The sequence below is a fragment of the Homo sapiens genome, chromosome 2 (genome assembly GCF_000001405.40).
Source record: "Homo sapiens chromosome 2, GRCh38.p14 Primary Assembly".
Taxonomy (NCBI): Eukaryota; Metazoa; Chordata; class Mammalia; order Primates; family Hominidae; genus Homo; species Homo sapiens.
The window spans coordinates 159448070-159473291 of record NC_000002.12 but is presented as its reverse complement, the minus strand read 5'-3'; the positions used below and the strand labels follow the sequence as shown (position 1 = coordinate 159473291).

Genomic DNA, 25222 nt, shown 5'->3' with positions numbered 1-25222 from the left:
CAAAACCAGGAAGAGGTCGAATCCCTGAATAGACCAATAACAAGTTCTGAAACTGAGGCAGTAACTAGTAGTCTACCAACCAAATGAAGCCCAGGACCAGATGGATTCACAGCCAAATTCTACCAGAGGTACAAAGAGGAGCCAGTAACTAATAGTCTACCAACCAAACGAAGCCCAGGACCAGACAGATTCACAGCCGAATTCTACCAGAGGTACAAAGAGGAGCTGGTACCATTCCTTCTGAAACTATTCCAAACAATAGAAAAAGAGGGAATTCTCCCTAACTCATTTTATGAGGCCAGCATCATCCTGATACCAAAACCTGGCAGAGACACGACAAAAAAAGAAAATTACAGGCCAATATCCCTAATGAACATTGATGCAAAAATCCTCAATAAAATACTGACAAATCGAATCCAGCAGCACATCAAAAAGCTTATCCACCACGATCAAGTCAGCTTCATCCCTGGGATGCAAGGCTGGTTCAACATACACAAATCAATAAACGTAATCCATCACATAAACAGAAACAATGACAAAATCCACACGATTATTTCAATAGATGCAGAAAAGGCCTGCGATAATATTCAACACCCCTTCATGCTAAAACCTCTCAATAAACTAGGTATTGATGGAACCTATCTCCAAATAATAAGAGCTATTTATTACAGACCCACAGCCAATATCATACTGAATGGGCTAAAGCTGGAAGCATTCCCTTTGAAAACCGGCACAAGACAAAGATGCCCTCTCTCACCACTCCTATTCAAAATAGTATTGGAAGTTCTGGCCAGGGCCATCAGGCAAGAGAAAGAAAGAAAGGGTATTCCAATAGAGGAAAGAGGAATAGAAAATTTCCAATAGAAAATTTCCAGTAGAAAAGAGGAAATCAAATTGTCTCTGTTTGCAGATGACATGATTGTATATATCATCTCAGCCCAAAATCTCCTTAAGCTGATAAGCATCTTCAGCAAAGTCTCAGGATACAAAATCAATGTGCAAAAATCACAAGCATTTTTATACAGCAATAATAGACAAACAGCCAAATCATGAGTAAATTCCCATTCACAATTGTTACAAAGAAAATAAAATACCTAGGAATACAACTTTCCAAGGGATGTGAAGGACCTCTTCAAGGAGAACTATAACCACTGCTCGAGGAAATAAGAGAGGACACAAACAAATGGAAAAACATTCCATGCTCACTAAAAAGAAGTTGAAACAAATCTTGAATGAACCAATTATCTACCCATTTGAACTCATCTGATTATAGCTCCTCTGCCATATCTCCCCAGCTCTGTATTGTAATAAACTTTTCTGATACATGTGTATGAACTTTATTCCCATTTCAACAGCCCATTTCTTTAAAATCTATTTCAGTAGTGCATCTAGTAGCTTATGTATATTTATTACAAATCTCCTTTGAAATCCTGTTCTATGTAAGAATATAAATTAAGCCAAATAGAATAAATGCTCAACTCAAAGTGATATGGCTCTTAACTTTCACAGACAATAGCAAATATCTATTGGTTTTTTATTAAAGATTATAAAGGACTTTTTCAGTACTTCATTTCTTCTGTACTTTATCATTAGTTCTTCTTTATCTACTGGATCATGTTCATCAGTATAAAAGCATGCTCTTAGTATCACCCATCCTAAAAAAAGCAGTATATACAAAACACCTTCTTTTTAGGGGGAGCCAGGGGGAGACAGAGTCTCACTTTGTCTGGCTGGAGTGCAGTGGTGTGATCACAGCTCACTGCAGTCTCAACCTTTGAGGCTCAGGCAATCCCCCAACCTCAGCCTCCTTAGTAGCTGGGACTACAGGCAAGCACAGCTAATTTTTAAAATTTTTTTTTGTAGAGACTCACTCTGTTGTCCAGACTGGTCTCAAACTCCTGGGCTAAAGCGATCCTCTTGCTTCAGCCTCCCGAAGTGTTGGGATTACAGATGTGAGCCACTGCGCCTGGCCCCCAAACCATTTTTATATCCCAATACTCTTCTGGCTATTGCCCTGTTTTCTGCCAGAATGCTCACAGCCCAACTTCTGAAAGGAGATAGTTACATATGCTTTCTTCTTGTCTTTCACACACATCCCAACTCACAGCAGTGTCATCTTTCTAGCCTCATCTCATTCAACCTCAGCAGAATTTGACATAGCTGACCACTCTCTTCTTCTTGAAAATCTTTCCTTTTAGCTTCCATTATACTACTCATAGTTTTTCTCTAAATTTTTTTATACAACTCCTTCTTAAGTTTTTTTTTTCCCCCAGATTCCTGTACTCATAAATCAAGGCTTGCATTTTCCAAGCCTTGATTCTGAGGCCTGTTATTTCTTGTCTTTTTGTTTAAATACACCTATAGGAAGACTCTGCCCAGACTTTCTCTCTGAGCTCCTGAACATATACATTTTACATAGAGGTTTTATAGACATCTCAAACTTAACAAATTTAACACATCCAAAAAACAAACTTTTGGTTTTCTCCCAAAACCTGTTTCCTTCACATTCTCTATCATTAAATGATACCACAATCATCCAGTAGCTTAAGCCATAAATATAGTGATCTCTGGATTTATCTATTTCTCTTTCACCCTCACATCTAAAGTCTGTTGATTCTACCTTCAAAATAAAGCTTGAGTCTGTACACTTCTTTCTGTCTCTGCTACCACTGCCCTAGTCTGCACTAAAATCTCTCGTCTATATCATTGCAGTTCTTTCTAACTGGCTCTCCACTTCTATGCTTGCCCTGCTTTTATCTGTTCCTCTCAGAACAGAGTGAAGCTGCACATGCAAACCCTCCTACTTTTAGTTTCTTTATTTTGGTGTGATTTATGTACAATATAATTCACCATTTTAAATGTATACTTTAATGAATTTTGACAAATGTATATATTCATGTAACCTCCAGGCTGTAGGACAATTTTATTACTCCAGGAAGTTGCCTTGTATCTTTTTGAAGTTAAATTCCTCCCTCCATCCCTGCCCTGGCAATTACTGAGACAGTTCCCTTCTATTCGTTCTTTGCTGAGAGTCTTTTATTATGAATTGGTATTAAATATTGTCACATGCATTTTCTGCACTTTTTGAAATGATTATATGGCTTTTTCCTTTTAACTTGCTATTTTGGCAAATTACATTGATTAATTTTTTTATAGTTAAGCCAATCTTGCATTTCAAGGATTAATCCCACTTGGTTATGATGGGTTATCCTTTCAGAATAGTGTTGGTCATGCAGAAAGCAAGTATAGAAATAAAGCACTGTTGAATTTGATTTGCTAAAATTTTCTTAAGGAATTTTGCACCTGTATTCATGAGGGTTATTGGTCTATAGTTTTCTTGCAGTTGATTTGTTGGAAATGAGTGGGTAAGATTCCTGCCTCTCTTGTGTTTTTCAAAGAATATATAATGATATTATTTTTTCTCTAAATGTTTGGTAGAATTCACTGGTGAAACATCTGGGCCTGGAGAGTTTTGGTTGTTTGTTTGTTTAAGTTGTTGTTGTTGTTGTAAGATACTAAATCATGAATTCACCTTTTAAAATGTAGGTATAGGCCGGGCATGGTGGCTCATGCCTGTAATCCCAGCACTTTGGGAGGCCGAGGCAGGCAGGTCACTTGAGGTCAGGAGTTCGAGACCTGCCTCGCCAACATGATGAAACCGCGTCTCTACTAAAAATATATATAAAAAATTAGCCAGGCATGGTGGCGGGCACCTGTAATCCCAGCTACCTGAGAGGCTGAGGCAGGGGAATCGCTTGAACCTGGGAGGCAGAGGTTGCATTGAGCCGAGATTGTACCACCGCACTCCAGCCTGGGTGACAGAGCGAGACTCGGTCTCAAAAATAAATAAATAAATAAAATAAGTAAAAAATGTAGGCATAGAACAATTCAGGATATCTTTTTCTCTTTGAATGAGCTTTGGTTGGTGTCTTTCAAGGAATTCGTTCATTTCGTCTACATCATTAAATGTATGGGCCCAAAGTTGTTCCAGATATTGCCTCATTCTTTTAATGTCTGTATGATTGGTAGAGAGATTTTTTCTTTCATCGTTGATATACATAACTTATGTCTTTTCTTTTTAGTGACTAGAGGTTTTTCAACTTTACAGATTTTTTTAAGAACAAGCTTTTGGTTTCATTGAGTTTTCTCAATTTTCTGTTTTTTTTCTCTCATTAATTATTTCCTTCTGTTTTTCTATGGGTATGATTTTCTCTTTTTCCCTACTTTTTTTTTTTTTTTTTTGAGACAGAGTCTTGAACTAACGCCTGGGCTGAGTGCAATGGCTCAATCTCAGCTCACTGCAACCTCTGCCTCCCGTGTTCAAGCAATTCTCCTGCCTCAGCCTCCCAAGTAGATGTGATTACAGGCACCCACCACCACACCTAGCTAATTTTTTTATATTTTTATTTTTAGTAGAGACGGGGTTTCACTGTGTTGGCCATGCTGGTCTTGAACTCCTGAACTTGTGAACCACCCGCCTCGGCCTCCCAAAGTGTTGGGATTACAGGCGTTAGCCACCGCACAAGGCCTTTTCCTACTTTCTAGAGGGAAGCTTAGATCGTTTATCTAGCACCTTTGTCCTTTTCTTATATATGTATTTAATGCTATGAATTTCCCTTGTAATTACTGCTGTAGCTGCGGCACATAAGTTTTATGTGTCATTTTCTTACCATTCCAGTAAAAACATTTTCTATTTTCCTTTGTTAATTCTTCTTTGGCTGATGGGTAGTTTGGAAGTCATTAACATTTAGTTTTTAAAATCGATATCCATTTTAGTTTTACTGTGGTTAGAAAATGTACTGATAATATTTGTGCTATGATTCTTTTGGCTTCCCACTTCTGCTTTTTCATGCTAGACTCCTCTGGGTCTCCTCTGTACCTGTGAAAATTCTTGATTGGCAAAGTATTTAGGCAGAGATGGGTCTCCTTTCCTCTGTTTCTTTTTTGGGTTTTGTTTTTGTTGTTGTTGTTGTTGTTGTTTTTCTTCTAAGATTACCCCCTAATTTTCAGTTGCTCTGCCTGCTTTGGGCTCAGTGCTGTGACACTTCGTACTTCCTGCCGCCTGAGATAATCATGATGAGGGAGTGCACTTAGTAAATAAATACATCAAACCCAGCAGATCTGCTATATACAGCTCTGCTTTTCAAGAGTAGATTTATCTTCATTCTCTGCCAGCTAGTTTGTGCTGACCCTGGAGTCCTTTTTCATTCATGCACAGTATACTTGCAGCTAGGCGTTTGGATAGTTTAAATTGAATTTGGGTCTCATACTTGCTGTGGTTTGCTCACTACCAAGATTTCCCCTTTACATTTTGAGATGCTGCCTTAGCTCTGAATTCTGACCTCTTGCACCTTTAGTTGATAAGCCTGCTGTTTTTTATTTGACCATCATCTGTAGTTATAACTATGTGATTTAGGCAGCAGACCAGAAAGCTACAAAGTCATACTTTTTACTTCTTGTTAACCATTGGTCCAGACTAAACTCTCCTCTGCCATTCTTCTGCTTTTGGATGCTTTCCAGTATTTCAGGGGGCTTTTTAAAGCCCAATTTTAGTAATTATTCTCTGTGGAGGATTTATACGACCACCTCACTCCACCATTACCAGCAGTTGTCTCCGACCCCAAAATAAATCACTTAATTTAAAAAAATTTTTTCCTAAGACACTACAGATGTGTGGCATGTGACCCAGCCTAGCCAATCCAAATATCATCTTTCCTAGACAAGAATGATTGGTTAAGGAATGGACACAACATAAGTCAATTAATCAAAGCAAAGAGATTCCATTCTGGGATTTTTATTGGTGCTGGGGGAGGAAAAATACCTCCCCTTGCACTGGCCCCCGCAGCTTCCTGCTCCAGAAACCTGGGGGGGAAAGGCCCGTCTGAGGGAGGCAGAACCAGAAGAGGAGAGATAAATTAGGTCTTGGTAAACCTTCAGTCTAGCTTCTTCATCTCTACAATGAGCCTTTTCCAAAAGCTTTTGAGTTTTGTGAGTCATTAGATTAACTTTTTCACCTAGCCATATCGAGCTGGATATTTTGTACTTTCAACTTAATTTTTACATAAGGCTGCACATCCTCCATGACCTAATCCTGCCTGCCTTCTCAAATTTGTCTGGCACTGTTCTCATTCTGACCCCTTATCTTTCAGCCTCCCTGACCTTTTACTTCTTAGATACAAAACATCCTTTCCCAACTCAGAATTTCAAATACGCTGTCCCTCTGTCTGGAAAATCTTCATAAAGCTGATTCTTCCTCATGCTTTGTCTCAGGTTAGATATCCTGAGATATTATAATAATTAATTTGATGTGTCCCCTTGACTGGCTCGTGGGTACTCAGGTAAAACACTATTTCTGGGTGTGTCTGTAAGGGTGTTTAGCAATTGAATCAGTGGAGTGAGTAGAGCACATTGTCCTCCCCAGTGTAGGTGGGCATCATCTAATCCATTGAGGACCTGCAGAGAAGAAAAAAAATGGAGGAAGAGGGGAGTAGTTCTCTTTGCCTGACTGATTGATCTAGGACATCAGTCTTCTTCCGTGGCTGGGACTTAACACCATCAGCCCTTCGGTTCTCAGAATTATACCACCAGCTTTCCTGGGTCAGCCTCCATAATCTCGATTCCTTATAATAAATCATATATAATAAATTAGTGTATCCTGTTGGTTCTGTTTTGTGAAGAATCTTGACTAATACAGACCTTAATTAGACCTCTAATTATAGTCTCTAGGTAATTGCTGCAGCTATAATTTCCTCCATAGCACTATTCACAATTTAGAATTGGACATTTGGTGTTGTTTTACTTATTTGTCAATTCTTCTGCATTTAAAGGGCAAGGACTTTATCTGTTTTACCAATATGTATCCAGTCAGTGCCTGACACAAAATATATAATAATAAGAAACAATTATTGAAGAAAGGAAGGGAAGGAGAGATGAATTTACAGGACTAAGACTTAAAACTTAAATGATAATTAACTCTGATTAATAAGTTTTCTGAGCTGTGCTGTGCATTGCTCTGGTAATAATCAAGTGACTATGCAGATTTTAGTTGGGGATGGGCATCATAAGCTACAGGATAAGGAATTTAAAAGATCAGTTGAGATTACTGAAGAGGCAATGTATGAAAAACAAACCTGAAAGTCAAAATTATGGTTTAACTAGAACTTAAGAGACAGCCAAGACTTAAGTTTATACTTAGTAGAGAATCATCAGGGAATGAGATAGGCCTGCTCTTGATGGTTTGTGGATAAAGCCAAAGTTTCTTTGAGTATTTATGTTATACTCTGAACTATTACAGCATGATTTTCTCTTTTAGTTGATGTGTTAATGTTGTAGGCATCTATACATCCTAAATAAAGTCTCTTGAATTTTTTTTTTTTTTGAGACAGGGTCTCACTCTGTTGTCCAGGCTGGAGTGCAGTGGTGCAATCTCAGCTCACTGCAACCTCTGCCTCCTGGGTTCAAGTGATTCTCACACCTCAGCCTCCCAAGAAGTTGGGTACATGCCACCATGCCTGAATAATTTTTGTATTTTTGGTAGAGACAGGGTTTCACCATGTTGGCCAGGTTGGTCTCAAGCTCCTGACCTCAAGTGATCTGCCCACCTCGGCCTCCCAAAATACTGGGATTACAGGCATGAGCCATCGCGCCTGTTCAGGCTGTTGAATTTTCAACTGTCTAGCCTTTTTTGCAGTGGGGTTTATTTAATGAAAGGTTTGATCACAAGTATTTTCAGAATATTATTTTACTTCACTTTTTAGTAGAACTTTGTAGTTTTAATTTGGGATTTTAGTAGTAGGTTACTTGAGAAAGTTAATATGTTCAAGTCAATTAAGTTCTCTTAAAAATAAAGCAAATACTATAGGTTAAATTGTATCCTCCCCCTCAAAAGACATAGGTTAAAATCCTAACCCCTTAATACTTCAGAATGTGACCTTACTTAGATATAGATACCTTACAGAGCTAATCAAATTAAAATGAGATCATTAGGTTGGGCCTTAATCCAATACATATCCAGTATTTTTATCAAAGGAGAAATGTAGACACAGAGACATGCACAGCAGGAAGCACATGTGAAGACACAGGAAGCATACCCAAGGTTATAAGAAACTAGGAGACAAGCATGGAACTCATGTTTCCTAGTGCCTTCAGAAGGAACATGGCCTTGTTGACACCTTGATTTCAGACTTCTAACCTCCAGAACTATGAGACAATAAATTTCTGTTGTTCTAAGTCACACAGTTGTGGTACTTTGTTATGGCAGCTCTAGCAAACTAATACACCCAGTCTATACTTTCAAAGCTGATTGTAATAATTTATGTTCATTATGGGAAAACTAAGACTTTCTTATGTATTGAAACATAAGTAGAACAAGATTTAGGTTAAGGTAAGTAAAGTAAAACAAGAATTATATTACTTTTAGTTTTTTCTGTTTCCTTACTAGAAGTACAGCTATATTTGAATATAGAAATGTATATAAAATATTCCGTATTTTTAGCATTTTAATCTATGAACTCTAATTATTTTCATTAGATCCAACAAAAATTATCACAGAAGAGGAACTGTCCTTATCTTTTAAGAATAGTCATTTGCCTGAGTATTGGTGCATCATTTCTTGAACAAAGCTTATTCGGCATGTTTGATGTTATTAAATGGCAGCTTTTCTTCCCAAAGCTACCGCGGCTCCCAGTGACTTGTTTTCTAATAAAAATGCCTTTTGAAGAGAAAATGGTAGTTTTACAGTGGCGAGTCCTGGCAGATACCAGCTTAACCAAGTGATCGAAGTTAATGTCACCAGAACTACATAGCAACATTATGGGCCCTAGATAAATTGCTCTGAGAAGGGCACATTGACCATCTTTTCTAATAATGCATCACCTCTTCTAATCATGAGAACACATCAGACAAACTCAACCAGAGGGACATTTTACAGAATACCTCTGACCAGTACACTTCAGTGTATTAAAGTCATAACAAACAAGACTGAGGAAATAACACGACTGTACAAAACTAGGGAGACACAACACCTAAATGTAATATGAGATCCTGGATTGGATCTTGGGACAGAGAAGTGACATTGGTGGGAAAACTAATTAAATCTGAATAAATTCTTTATTTTAATTAGTTAATCAAGGTTAATTTCTTAGTTTGGAAAGTTGTTCTTTAGTCATGTAAGATGATAACATAAGGAGAAGTAAGGTTGGGTAGACAGTATATAGGAACTCTGTGTACTATTTTTGCAACTCTTGTGAGTCAAAATAATCTCAAAATAACTACTTAAAAATAAAAATAGGCTGGGCGCAGTGGCTCACACTTGTAATCCCAGCACTTTGGGAGGCTGAGGTGGGCAGATCACAAAGTCAGGAGTTTGAGACCGAACTGGCCAACATGGTGAAACCCCATCTCTACTAAAAAATACAAAAATTAGCTGGGTGTGGTGATGGGCGCCTGTAATCCCAACTACTCAGGAGGCTGAGGCAGGAGAATTGTTTGAAACTGGGAGGTGGAGGTTGCAGTGAGCGGAGATCGCACCATTACACTCCAGCCTGGGCAACAGGGCAAGACTCTGTCTCAAAAAATAATAATAATAAAACCCAATCTGAATAGACTTTTCTCAAGAAACATATAAGTGGCCAGCAGATATATGAAAAAATGCTCAACATCACTAATCATTAGGGAGATGCAAATTAAAATCACAATGAGCTATCATCTCACACCTGTCAGATTGGCTTTTCTCAACTAGACAAAAGACAAGTATTGGCAAGGATGTGGAGAAAAGGGAACGCTTGTACACTGTTAATGGGGATGTAAATTAGTACAGCCTTTATAGAAAATAGTATGGAGGTTCCTCAAAAAACTAAAAATAGAATTACCATATAATCCAGCCATCCTGTTTGTGGGATTTACCCAAAGGACTTGTAAACAGTTTGTCTAAGAGATGTCTGCACTCCCATGTTCATTGCAGAACGATTAACAATAGACACGTTAAGGAATCGTCTTTTTTAAGTGTCAAAATATAAATGTTGAGAACAGCCCAAGATGGCCAACTTCAATGATTGTGTGTTGGATAAGGAGAAGGTATGCATAGCTGCTAAATTCATCACTCATGCACCCGCAGGAGAATTTAATGAAGTATTCAGTGATATTCGGCTACTATGTAATAATGACAGTCTCCTCAGGGAAAGGGCAGCACGTGCATTTGCCCATTATAACATGGATCAGTTCACACCCGTGAAGATGGAAGGATGTGAAGATCAGGTCATAATTACAGAGCATGGGGGACCTGGGTAATAGCAGAGTTTTAGATCCAAGAAACAAAATTTCCTTTACATTTGATCACTTATAGAAAAAAGCAAGTGACCCCCAGCCAAAACAAGTAGATGGAGGTCTGAAGTCTTGGAGAGAATCCTGTGACAGTGCTTTAAGAGCCTATGTGAAAGACCATTATTCCAACGGCTTCTGTACTGTTTATGCTAAAAACTATCGATGGGCAACAGACTATTATTGCATGTATTGAAAGCCATGAGTGTCAGCCTAAAAACTTCTGGAATGGTCGTTGGAGATCAGAGTGGAAGTTTACCATCACACCACCTACAGCCCAGGTGGTTGGAGTGCTTAAGATTCAGGTTCACTATTACGAAGATGGCAGTGTTCAGTTGGTTAGTCATAAAGATGTACAGGATTCGCTAACTGTTTCGAATGACGCACAAACTGCCAAGGAGTTTATTAAAATCATAGAGAATGCAGAAAATGAATATCAGACAGCAATTAGTGAAAACTGTCAAACAATGTCAGATACCACATTCAAGGTCTTGCGCCGGCAGCTTCCGGTTACCCGCACCAAAATTGACTGGAACAAGATTACTCAGCTACAACATTAGCAAAGAAATGCAGAATGCCTAAAGGCTGAATGTAGGATTCTTCAGTATGTGGAAAGACAAGGATTCAACATGTGGTCATATGATAAATAAGTGATTTATAAACAAGAGTGATATTTTGCTAGAGCTTTCAAAGTTAACCAGTTTTCTAACCTCATGGAATACTGTTGAACCTATAGCATTGTCTGATTCTTTTGTGTTCTCTGCTTTGTAATTTTCTGTTATTGCTATATCCAAGTGTAAGTCTTTTTTTTTTAATTCTGCCACATTTAATGTTGGAGAGAGAGATCTATCCTAGAGACATTTTACTGTTTAAAAAAGTTTCCTAGCCATGAAGCGCTGCTACTGATTTAGACAAGGTATATGGTCATTACTTTCTACCCCTATCCTTCCAAGCACTTCTGATACTGCAGTGGTTTTTACTGATCCACCAGCACCTAAAGAGGCTGTACTACAGTCTATAGCTAAGTGGAAGGCACATTCATCCTTCTCCCTCTGACTGCTTTGATCATCATTTATTGCATCGCAGAACTGTAATTTTCCAAAGTTTGGATTGGGACTTTTCAGGTCCTTTTTGGAGGGCAAAGGAAGTGTCAGCTTCTCTGGGGAACTTGTTTTTAAATCCAAAGACTTGAACCACATTCCCTGCACTTGAACACGTTTGCTTTCATCCCTTCTCTCATTGTCTCCTTCCCATCTTAGTACCATTGTAGTTATAGACATCTGCATTTTTAGAAGAGTTTTAGCCATTTATTTTTTTAAACAGTCAAGAACTGCTGACATACTGTGGATATAGAGTATAAAACTTGAAAAATGCAGATGTTGAAGGAATAACAGGTATCTTGTGCTTTAATACTTTATGGCAGGATTGTACTATAAGCAAATGAATTAAACAGCTATGTAAATCATAAACAAAAACTGAAAATGAACCAAAATGAAAAGGATAACTTCCAGGCAGTATCTTTCTATTGTAACCTGTTATTTAAGGAAATACTAACGATTTCTTCTAAATAGGATGTAAAACTTATTTCAGATTACTCTTCCTCAGTCCTGCCTGCCAAGAACTCAAGTGTAACTGTGATAAAATAACCTGTCCCAGGTATATTGGCAGGTATGTGTGTAATCTCAGAATACACAGGTGACATAGATATAATATAACAACTGGTAATGGTGGATTCATTTACATTGCTTACAGTTCTATGACCAGGCCTTAAGGGAAGGTCAGTTTAAAAAAAAAACAAGTAATGTCTTCCTGCCTATCTCCACATACATGTAAAAAAAAAACGTGTTTGTGCTTCAGTTCTGTTTTTGCTCAGTAATATAGTCAAGGAACAGTTTGTTTCCAAGTACCCATTGAGCTGTGTATGCATTTTTGTTTATTTCAAATAAAATATATTTGTATTATTTGTCATCCATACTATCCATCCATACCACACTATCTTCTGTATGAGATAGTCTAATAGAAATATACCTGTTTTGTTCTAAAATTATATATAAAGGTTAACTGGCTCAAAGCATTTTTAGAATGCAAGAGTGAAATGAGAATTACTTGGAGAGAAATGTTTTGTCACCAGTAACTGTAGACTTCTTTCTGTTCTTAATCAAAGTTCAAGTTTACAGAATTTGGACATTTTGAGTTCAGAAATATTTAAACATTAATATACTTAAGAATTTTAATATGTGAGCCAGTAATTTGAATATTGCTTTGATTTACAGTAATTTTGATGATGTTCTTTTTGCTATTACACTAAGTTATTACTGATATTAATTAAAGTCCTCATAACAACTTTATTTGAATATACCACCATTTTTAATGAATAGCCATACTTTGCAAGATGTACATTAGATCCTGATTTTTAATGTTGCAAATTTATGCTTACCATTTTGAACAACTGGAGACAAAATTTGAAGACATGATATAACAATTTTGTGTAGCATTGAAAGATTAAAAGACACTTTTAGCACACAGAAAAACGTGAAGTTATGTCATGGTAAGCAATTTTCTTGACTTTTAAAAAGATTGAGTGCTTTAACATACTTAGTTCTTACAATTATTTTGTTTTATTTGCTTTCTGGACTTTTCCTTAGTGATGGGAGATTTTGTTCACTGGTAGTTTAGAGTCAAGGCATTAGTTCAGTACAATTTCATTCTGATAGGGGGAAAACCTTGTTGAATTATTCTTTAATATTAATAAAGGCATTTGTAGTTACCATGCCTTGTTACTGACACACACCAGCATTTGTGTACTGATTTTAATCACTTTTATATGTAGTGATTTGATTTGGCTAGTAGAATTTGAAAAGCTTTGCTGAAAAATATTCAGCTCATTGTAATTTGAGAACATAGGCATTGCAGATGTGTATTAATTTTTATTATGTAAAATGTATACAGTTACCTATCTTAAAATAGAAACTAAAATAATATTTACATTAATAATATTGAAACTATGTTTGAATGTTAATATCTGCAAAAAATTGTGGTCTTCTAAAAATATTATTTTATGGTATAATTCATCAGCTTGCAAATGTTTTCTCTGAGCAGAACTCAAAAGTTTTCATCAAGACAGGTTTTGTGAGCAATACATCTGTTGATATTAAGTATATTAATGTAAGAAACATTTTCTTTTCTAAAAGTGAAACATTCTACTATCCAGGTAATTTTGTTTTGTACTTATAAGGTTAATAGAGCCTATTTGACTTGAGCTGTATTTCATTTTGTGAAAGTATCTTTCTGCTTTTTTATTAATACTGAATATGCTTTGTTTTAAATGTAATTATAGGATTGACTGAGCCATCATCAGTCTATGATCAAAATTTTCCTAGTGAACAGTAGTTTGAAATGTTAAGATAGTTGAAGACTAAAGGCATTGTCCTGGCAATGGAGCCAAGGGTGTAAACAAAACAGCAATCCCTGCTGTATAAAAAGATTAAAGCCACAAAGTGACATCATTCTAAATACCTAGTGAGCTTTTACTAACCTTGTGAGTGACTTTTGCAATTGGAGCAAAGTGACATGTTATATTTTAATCATTTAAAGAATAATTTCCGGTTATTCTAGCCTTTTAAAAGAAGAGTGAAACAAAGAATTGAAAAGTACTGTTTTGAAGATGCCTATAGCAGGTATTATGAAGTGTTGCCTCTGCCAACTGATAACAGTTTGCTTTGTGCAATGTTTTGTAAAGAGTAAAAATGGCTGTTTCCTTCATAACTTTTATACCCTAGTAATGGTCTGATAAAGGACAAATTGCCAATAATCTATCATGAACAATGAAAAGAGGCCCCAAATATAACTGTCTGGAGATTCAGGAATACTTCTTGAGCAATAGGTTCTTGAAATAGTTAGTAAAGAATATAATTATAAAGGGCAGAAATCAAAGAGCATGTTATATAGGCTTTGGAGGTTCTCAAGTGGAAGAAATAATGTGACCAAAAATACAGCAGTGAGAAACAATTTATTAAATTCTTATTGTGTTTCAGATTATTGGAAATCCTGAGCTAAATAAGATGCAGTTTTTGCCTCAAAGATCTAAAATCCTGGCTTATAATTCATTTGCATAGAGGTGATAGTTTAAACAGTATAAGCATGTGAAATACTGAAGGAGAAAGCATAAGAGAAGGAAAGAGATAGCTGGACAAAATCTTTAGGAATCTTTTACATTTAGGGGGAAAAAAGCAAAAGAAAATCCAATAAAGGAGATAGTATTATTGAAAGATGTATAGTTAAGAAGAGGATCAAGAGGGTTCCACGACCTAGATCTTAAGGATGATAATGGGTTTTGAAAAGAAAGGACCAGGCCAGGCGCGGTGGCTCACACCTGTAATCCCAGCACTTTGGGAGGCTGAGGCGGGCAGATCATGAGGTTAGGAGATCAAGACCATCCTGGCTAACACGGTGAAACCCCGTCTCTACTAAAAATACAAAAAATTAGCCGGGCATGGTGGTGGGTGCCTGTAGTCCCAGCTACTTGGGAGGCTGAGGCAGGAGAATGGCGTGAACCCGGGAGGCGGAGGTTGCAGTGAGCCGAGATCGCACCACTGCCCTCCAGCCTGAGCAATAGAGCGAGACTCCGTCTCAAAAAAAAAAGAAAAAAGAAAGAATAGAAAAGAAAGGACCAGGCACAGTGGCTCACGCCTGTAATCCCAGCACTTTGGGAGACTGAGGCAGGCAGATCATGAGGTCAGTAGTTTGAGACCAGCCTGGCCAACGTGGTGAAACCCTGTCTCTACTGAAAATACAAAAAAATTAGCTGGACGTAGTGGCACACAGCTGAAATCCCAGCTACTCAGGAGGCTGAGGCAGGAGAATCATTCGAACCCGGGAGGCAGAGGTTGCAGTAAGCTGAGATTGTGCCACTGCACTCCAGCCTGGGTGGCTGGAGACTCCATGTCAAAAAAATAATAATATGAAAGAGGCAGTCAGGAATGCCAGACTTATATAAGAGGTTGAGAATGAAAACAATAAAGATTAGAGGGATCTAGGAATTATGAAAACTTTCCTTTTACAGACCAAGTGGAAGGGAGGCTTGGGGCTTGGCACAAATGTTGAAAGATTCTGAGAAGTGAGGAGGAAGTAGACATAGCAGGTATAGGACGTTTCCTTTAAGGTTAACACAGGAGAGGTATTGATGTATTGAGAGGGAAAGAGACAGACAGGGTAAAGGAGTGGCCCTGGGAGGGGCTGGAGGTGGTGCTGAGAAATAAGGGAATGGAAATGTGAAAATTGTGGTTCAAGGGTGAAACTTTAAGAGTTTAAGATCCTGGAGGTGGTAGGATTCTGTGTGATCAAATCCAACATGTGACCTAAATGGAATCAAGGAGGAATAAAGGGCCAGTGTTAATGTTAACAAATTAGGACCAGGGGTTGAGGAAATAAGGCAAAGGAATCTAGGAACCATAACTGCAAGTTTGCCTAAAGACTCAAGACAGCTTTTTGTTCTGATTGAAAGCCTTTGGAATGAGTCCCATGGATAGGCCTCTTCTGCTTTAAATGAGTAGTGAATTAATTCATTAAAAACATTTATTTTATGTCCGTTATGTACTAGACACTGTTTTAGGTGTTTGGGTTGTATTACTGAGTCCTGTATATGACAGTACCAATTTGTAATACTGAAATATTAACAAACTTGTTTTATACATTATGGTATAAAAATAGTCTTGCACTGTTTAAATTATGCTCAAAACATGAGTTCCTTGAGGTCAGAGATTGTCTTACTCATCCTTGTAGGCCAGTTACTTAAGCATAGCACCTGATGTTTAATAGGTATGTTCATGAAATGTTTGAATTACTGAAACTGTTAAATAACAGAATAATTCTGTAAGATTTTTACATGGAATTACTATCTGTGTTTTGTAAAAGATGGAAGAAAAACAGTATTAAAATTATATATATAGCATTACAGAACTTTTTAATGAAAAAGATTACTTTTTTAAAAATATCACTGAGTTCTAAATTCTTGCTATAAAGGCAAAATATAGTAAAATTGTGAAATGTATTCTTAAATTATTTCCCTTCTCTAGTATAACCTTTCCCGCATGAAACAGGAAGTCTTTCACGTGGGTATTTTTTTAGTGCATGGTATTACTACAATTATGATAAGTGATCTTAGTATACTTTACTAAATATAGACGTGAATCTTTTTCTCACCAGCAAGGAATGGACCTGTAAGACTCAGTCGTCACTAAGGATGCTTTCCATGCTTTAACTATTTTAACCAAGAATTTTAGAAGAAAGAATTAGGAAGTAGAGTTGAAGTAGCCTTGATCTGAACTCCCATCTCTGCATTCTTGCCAGGCATAGATGTCATTCTTGTGTACAGATCTATATTTTTTTCATTTGAATCTGTGATGTATACAGCTCATTTTGCTGAAATTTTCTACTCAGTTGCTTCCACATGTCATTCCTTTTAGAGTTAAAAAAGAACTTTTTGTTGTCAAAGTATGTATCATTGGTTCTTCATTGTTGCCACAAGAGTGATAACTTCATTTATTTACTGCTTATGTTTTCTGCTTGTGAGACTACAAAGTTTAGCTTGTTTGCTTCTTCCCAATAATGAAATTAATGCTGTAACTATGCATCTAAGAATGCTGCTTACTACCAATTATGTATTACTTATTATTTATTACTACCAATTATTTATTACTTACTACCAATTATTACCAATTAGTTATTACAACTAATTGTAATTACAGTTAGTTATTGCAGAAGTGTTTCTATCAGTTTCTAATCCTTGATAATTTCAATTATTCTGGATTTTTGTAATATTTAATATAGCTTTTGTAATTTTGAGGTTACTTCCCTCAAATTTCTTTGTATTAAATCACAACTACATACATGTAATTGATATAATTTAGGAATTGTTATTTGTAAAACATAAATTACAGATGACCCCAAATTCTCCAAAACTGCAATGTTCAGTTCAACTTGCTTACCACACAAATTGATGGAGAAAGAAAAGAACTGATCATAGTATGTTTATAAATAAAACATTTAACAACATTTGAGTCAGGAAGTTGAATTGACTGGTGAGAACCAGAGATTTTATATGTAATAACAAATGAAAGTAAAAACTGGTTTTTATAGTTACAAGCTCATTTTTTTGAGAAACTAGCTGGGTTTCTGAGAATTTGCCAAAAAAAAAAAAAAAAAAAAAAAAACCACAATATTTCTGGTAACCTATCACTGGTCTTAAAGATAATGACATTTGGGTAGCTTTTTTGGCAGTAGCATACTCTGTTTTATTTTGACTCATCTTCAGTGCTAATGCAGTCCACTCTGATAAAACAGAAGAACCAATTCAACAAAAACAATGATTAGCTGATTTAGAAGAGACACCCAAGTTTATGCCCTTTCCTTGTCCTCTTACCTCACAGTATCCTTGTGGGCCTTCCTTGTAAAGATACTTTGAGGATCTTCCCTGTGAGATCTAGTTACTGCTTTGTTGTAGTGGAGCACTATCCTGAATCAGAACTTTTTCCTTATATAGCCTGATACAAAACATACTTAATGCAATTTATTTAAATCTTATTTTTAAAAGTCATTCAGATCTTCTTGTTTCAGTAAAGAATATAGCATTATTTTAATAAAGAATATAGGTTTTATATCAGACTTTAGAGGGTACACTGACCGTTTTTTAGGACTTTCCCTTGGTTTTCAGGGAGCAAGAAAGCAAAGAGAAGAGATTTGGTTGATAACTAAATAATAATAAGTATACTATTTTTAACTTACATTTGTAAATTTCAAACATACTATGTTAAAACTAATTAAATTGCAGTGCACAGTCAGGACTGATATAATATAAACAAGAGATAATAAGGAAGCTTTATTCTAATATTAACACAGAGCACAATACTGTTCACACAGTAAATTCTTAAGATAACCTAGAGTATTCTCTTTTCACAGTAGCAAGACAGGGTACCTTAATTATTTCCTGGAAGTAAAGGGAAGATTTCCAAGTATTAGAAAAGTTTTCTGCCAAATTACTACAAAGTATGAAAAATAAGTCATGTTTTTATCATATAACATTCCAACCTGGAGTTATAACACTTATCTTTAAAAATAGAATTAAAATGTCAGACTCATTTGAATTGAACATTGTCTTACTCAGAGAAAGCTAAAAATGATTTTTATATTGGTAACCACTTGTGAACACATTTAGAAATATCTTTGTAAGTTTATTAAGTACTTATGTTGTCTTGTGCATTGTTTTATTAGACTAGAATATATTCCCTTTTTGGTATCAAGATACTCTTCTCACCTAAGAAGTATAGTCATACACTGCATAATGACATTTTGGTCAATGCCTGACCACATATATGACAGTAGCCCCCTAAGATTATAATGCCATATTTTTACTGTACCTTTCTTAGGTTGAGATATGTCTAGATATACAAATATTTACCACTGTGTTACAACTGCCTGAAGTATTCAGTTCAGTAACATCCTGAACAGGTTTGTAGCCTAGTAGCAATAGGCTGTATCCTATAGCCTAGGTGTGTGGTAGACTGTACCACCTAGGTTGTGTAAGTACACTGTACAATGTTTGCATGATGACAGAATCACCTAACAATGCATTTCTTAGAATGCATCCCCATCATTAAACAACTCATGACTGTGTTAGAGAACAGAGCTTCAACTCTGGCATGTTGAAACTGGGATGGCCTTGCTTAGAGTGTATAATAATTTGAGTATTGACCTGGTGACAGATCCTGGACTTATTTCAGTGGCTTTCAACCTTAGATTAATAGGATGTTTTTTATTTCCCTTCTTATGAGTAAAATATATTGAAAATATATTAATGTATATATATTAACAGAAAATTGGCCTCACTTCCTCAGGTCAGACAATTTTAATTAGTGAAAATTATCTACTTAAAACATTGGTTCTCAAATCTCAAATTCAAAAGTTAATTTATGCCATTTATTTTAATGATTTTTAGCATGTCTTCATGTTTCTAGAAACATTTTATAGGGTTTGAAGAGTAGAAAATGCAGCAGGAAAAGGGTAAAATAAAAATGTAATAGGTAAATTATTATAAATTTTAACTATAAACACTGAAATCAGATAAGTCTCATCTGTTTTTTATAGTACAACTTTAAGTGTGTTTTTTTCCCTCCCAGGACATTTATTCAGAACAGCTGGGGATCAACCGTTTAACCTGTCCACAGTGTCGAGTGCCTTCCCAATGGTCAGCCACCCAGTCTTTGGTCTACATTCAGCCAGCTCAGGGCATTCAGAATTTGGTGGTTTGGGGACACTTGGTACACCCACAGCCTTAGCCGCACATCCCCAACTAGCATCTTTTCCAGGTAAACATCTGTTACAAACAGTGTTCAAGGGAAGGAGGAAAGCTTGAGAATGTTCAAGCAATAATTTGTCTATTGAACAAAAGGAATAGTCTAATGCCTGGTATATTTAAAACTTTGGTGCAAGAATTGGCTTAATCCTATTTATCATGTGCAAAAAATTAAACACCCTAAGTGTGTTAGGTGGCAGAGCAGTTAATTAGATATCCAGGTATTTAACTAGAGAAATAGGTGTCTGTCACAGGAGAGAGTAATTCAGGCAAGTTTTTCTCATGTTTTTTTGTTGAAGTATAATATACAGAAAAGTATACATAGTGTAAATGTAGAGTTGAATTAATTTTTCTCAGCCTTATTTGATTTTTTAAAAAATTATTTAGTGTGAAACTAAAGTTCAGGTTTTATGAGTATTTTTACACTCCTATTTCAAGGTCTTACTTTTCTTCACTGTAAGGAAAATGAGCTAGACTCTTAAATTTCTTTATTTTTCTGTTTTTTGTTTGTTTTGTTTTGTTTTCTGAAACGAAATCTTGCTCTGTTGCCCAGGCTAGAGCGCAGTGGTGCAGTCTCAGCTCACTGCAACCTCCGCCTTCTAGGTTCAAGCAGTTCTCCTGTCTCAGCCTCCCGAGTAGCTGGGATTACAGCCACGCACCATCATGTCTGGCTAATTTTTGTATTTTTAGTAGAGACGGGGTTTCGCCATGTTGGCCAGGCTGGTCTTGAACTCCTGACCTCAAGTGATCCGCCCACCTCGGCCTCACAGAGTGCTGGAATTACAGGTGTGAGCCACTGTGCCCAGCCTATTTTTCTGTATTTGATCAAAACAACTAGAGAGTTGTACCACTTACATGGAAGAAGACCAGTATTATCCAAAATTCTATAGATAATGAGGATTTAGTAGTTCAGTAAGACATCAGTTAATTAAAACTTTCGACAAACGTGCTTCAATTTGTTATATTATCTTGAAAGCCTAAATTTGTATGTATTTTCTATAGATTAATTTGGCTTTAATAAATTTTAGTGAGGTCTGCATGTTTTAGTGTATGTAAGATAATTTAAAACGTTATAGCATAATTCTAGAGACAAATAGGCCTGAATTTAAATCTGGCTTTGTTAGTTCATAGCTGTGTGACCTTGAACAAATTATCTGACCTCTTAGCCTCAGTTTTCTCATCTGAAAAACGAGAATCATAATAATAGTATCTGACTTACAGGGTTCTTGTGAGGATTAAAGGAGTTAAGTCATATGTAGTGCTGAGTACAGTATCTGGTGCACATAATTAGTCCATAATTGGTAACTATCATTATTATTTCATTTTGCCCACTTTAATGGTTAATAATTTATCAAATCCTTCCTTAAAAGGAAAGAAGTGTTTTTAAAACTACGTGTAGAAAGGATAGATGGTTAAATGTGTGTTTCAAGTACTGTTTCTTGAGTCATATTACTTCTTTAATTCAGTTGTCTGGGAAGCAGGGATGCTAAGGAGGAGTAATGTGAGTGGACAGTTAAAGAAGTCTTAAACCAAGTTTTAACATTTCCTTCAAAAATATTAATAGGAATTTATTCAGTTTCTAGCATGGTTGTTTAGCAAGATGAGCATTCCACAGATATTTACTGAAATACAAGATTGCTGAATAAATATCAAAATAGATAAAAACAATATAGATAGTGATATCTTAAATATTTTTATTGTTTTATCATGCTTTATTACACTGTTGCTTTTGAACATTTCTAAGCCACAATGTAAATACTATATTATTAAAATCAAATGTCTTTTGTACTAGAATGATGGTTAACACATTTAAAAAATTACTCATCTGGAGTTCAATAATGTTGATACTTCTACTATATAGAAAAAAATTTGATAGCTCCCCCAGCCAAAATAAAGTATTCACTTATTCATTTAAGGTACAAAATTCTTTGGACATCTACTATGCTCTGCACACAAGGCCAGAAACAGAAGAATAAACATAGTATATTATATGTTGCTTACAGTTTTTAGGAGATAGATGAACAGACAATTACAAGACAGAGTCTTTAGTGATAAAAGTATGCCTAGATGAGCATACTTTTTGCCAAATGGGCAGAGACTATGCCTAGTTTTCAAAGATTCATTTTGTTTAATTTGCAGATTTCCTACAGTAACTTAAATATAAATTTTCTATAATTGGCTTTATTCAGAAGGGTAACCAAATTGCCAGACTTTTAAATTGCCCAGTAAATAAATGAGGACACAACAGGAAGATATTACTAGGAGTTTTTAATGAGGAATAATTTTTTATATTTTATGCACTTTCTAAAGTATTATGCATTTCAGATTAAATCAATAAATGTAAATTTATTTAATGGGTATTAGCATAATAAAATTATTTCCATTTTATATTGAAATAGTATTTCATGATAATTTAAAAAATATTTGTACTTTTTTGTAGTTAATTTTCATATTAAATTACCATGAATTTTTGCGAAGTATTTTTGGCTCTATCAAGTATGAACGATTTTTAAATTCTGCTAAATCTTCTAGGTTCAAATTGAGATCTGTTATGTCCTCTGAAATATTATTAATAGAATCTTTGAGTTAAATATGTCAAATATTGGCTGGCCATGGTGCCTCGTGCCTATAATCCTAGCATTTTGGGAGGCCGAGGCAGGCAGATCACTTGAGGCCTCACCAACATAGCCAAACCTCATCTCTACCAAAACTACAAAAATTAGCCAGGCATGGTTGTGCATGCCTGTAATCCCAGCTACCCTGGAGGCTGAGGCAAGAGAATCACTTGAATCCGGGAGATGGAGGTTGCAGTGAGCCCCTAGCAGGCCACTGCACTCCAGCCTGGGCGACAGAGCACAATTCTGTCTCAAAAAAAAAAAAAAAAGAGTTAAATGTTGCTACTATGCTGTTCTTTCTTTTGAATATACTTAGAAATTTACCATATGCTGATTTATATAATCCTTATTTTGTATTTTTCATTTTGTCAACAAGCTGGTTTGTGACTAAATTTTGTTTATTTTCCTAAATTTAGAAGACAAGCTTGTCACTTAACAAAAATTATTTCCTATGAAATAGTATCAGACATTTGTAAAGTTTATAGTCAGAAGCTCTACCATTCACATCTTTTTATTTAACTGATCTTATTGTTTTGTATTTTCTTCTGTGGTGTCAGGTTATTTATAACACACATTTTCCCATTGTTTTCTCTAATCTCTACTGTGTGCTTCTTTACTTTTTTTTTTTTTTTCTTTGAGAGAGTTTCACTCCGTCACCCAGGCTGTGGAATGCAGTGGTGCGATCTCAGCTCACTGCAACCTCCATTTCCCAGGCTCAAGTGATTCTTGTGCCTCAGCCTCCCGAGTAGTGAGGATTACAGAACTATACCACCACACCAGCTATGTGCTTATTTACCATTGACATTCTCCAATACTTTTTAAAATTTTTTTTCTGAGTTTGATTATGTCTAAAATATTTGAGTCTTATTACACTTTGATTACCTTAGCAATTTTTTGGTTGTTTACAAAGTCTATGAATTCCACTTTAATTACAGACTCTGTGTTAAATTATATAAATATCTTTGGGAAACCTCAGTCCCTCCCTGCTTTTTAAAATTTTTTATAGCAACAGGGTCTCTCTCTGTTGCCCAAGGCTGATCTCAAATTCCTGGCCTCAAATGAACCTTTCACCTCAGCCTCCCAAAGCTCTGGGATTACAAGTGTGAACCACTGTGCCTGGTCCTCAGTACAGTAACTTTTTATCAGCTAGGTAGAACTTAGCTTTCAAACTTATAAATAACAAGATTGTGACTGTGCTGATACAAGCCCAAAACACATACTTTTTCTTCCTATCTAAATGTACATCTTTCATCTAAACGGTGGATAAATGATCAATGCTTTTGTATAGTTATTCTTGGTTCAGTTCCCATTGTTCAGGCATGGCTGAATATACATTGGTGTCATTTTACTAGTAATGCCTTCCTGCAGTGCAGAAGAATAGCTTTTGCAGTTTTCTACTTATACTGTTTTTTAGACCTTTGAGACTGGCAGCTACCATGAAAATTTCACTTTTCTTTTAAACCAGATTTTGCCATTAGATAATGAAGGTGCATACCATTTTACATTCTATTTTTAATGAAGGATATTCCTAGAAAAGTTTTTAATATTATATAATATAAAGACTGACAATTTTGAGTTTCTCCCATACTGTATTGTTGTGGGTTTTTTTCCTCTAATGTTCTTATGGTTGTCACAGTCAATGAAAAATACCCCATATCTTTTGGGAGATTGGTCTGAAAGATAATAACTGATTTGGTAATCTAGCAGACTAGCCAGTTGGAGAAGATTGTTTTTGAGATTTTAGATGGGTCAATATAAGATTACTTCATCCTTCCTTGAAAAATGTATAAAATTTGGCTTATTTCCTTTTCTAAAACTTTAAGAGACACTATTTAAGTATTTACCTTTTATTGAATGATTTTCTACCACTGGTCATTTTATATCAATAAAACAATCATTGTTATCTGTAATTAATGAGTGGAAGTAAAAACAAAATTCAGGCTTTCATCATTAACTTTAAGGGGAGAGGCTTTATAAATCTTTAATATTTTAATGTGAAATTACTTGTTTTTGAAATCTCCTTTGAGAACTTATTTTTTAGAACATAAAAAGGCCTACTGATTTTGCTATATTTATGGTTATCTTTAAGTATAGAAGTTTTCTTCCATAAATGTACTTGAGATATAGTGGATTACAATAGTCTTATATTATTATTTAGACTAACTGATTTATCAGAGCCAGATTTATATTGTATGTAATTTGAGGAAAGTCTTAACATAGGTTGTAGATGTAAACTTAAATTCTAAGGGTTTGAAACAGATGAGAAAAGTTATGGGATAAGTCATCAAAGAGTGAAATACTTCTTTTATATTCCAAGTTTTCACTTTCATTTTTTAAACTATGGACTACCTTTGTCCTTTACAAGTTTGAACTCTACAAAGCTGCCAAGTGAAGATCCTTAGATACTGACCTAATGAGAAGAGTGATAAGTGTACAAGTTCTACTGTTTAGAATTAGGAAAATGATCAGAAGTATGAGTAATTCAGTTTTGTTCCAAGATGAAACTTGAAATTTTTTTAAATAAAACATAGAAAGCCATTGTGACGTTAACTGGAAAGTTAATTTATATATTTTTGTTTGGTTGGTTTGTTTGGTTTTGAGGTGCAGAATGGTGGCGAACAACTGATGCTCATACTCGTACAGGAGCAACCTTCTTTCCACCATTACTGGGAATTCCACCACTATTTGCTCCCCCAGCCCAGAATCATGATTCTTCTTCATTCCATTCAAGGACTTCGGGAAAAAGTAATCGAAATGGTCCCGAAAAAGGTATCCACATTTACATAAGTGAAGTACTATAAATCTTCCATTCTAATATTATTTTCATAATGTTCAGGTTTAATACCTTTTTTTGTTTTTTGTTTTTGTTTGTTTGTTTGTTTTAATAGAGACAAGGTCTCACTCTTTTGCCCAGGCTGGAGTACAGTTGTATGATCATAGC

At 35.7% G+C, this 25222-nt stretch overlaps 1 protein-coding gene and 1 pseudogene across 48 annotated transcripts in view; both read left to right on the top strand.

The window, feature by feature from the left end:
• Positions 1-25222, top strand: part of BAZ2B (bromodomain adjacent to zinc finger domain 2B) — a 397131-nt gene that overhangs the window by 239151 nt on the left and 132758 nt on the right. For 35 of the 48 annotated variants that reach the window (XM_047444047.1, XM_047444046.1, XM_047444040.1 and 32 more), the window contains 2 exons: positions 19491-19679; positions 24883-25050. In XM_047444047.1, coding sequence (XP_047300003.1) covers positions 19491-19679; positions 24883-25050 — 357 coding nt within the window. The remainder of the gene's footprint in view (positions 1-19490; positions 19680-24882; positions 25051-25222) is intronic. The other 13 variants (XM_005246492.5, XM_011511050.1, XM_047444050.1 and 10 more) reach the window with 3 other exon arrangements.
• CAPZA1P2 (CAPZA1 pseudogene 2) lies at positions 10023-11096 on the top strand (annotated as a pseudogene).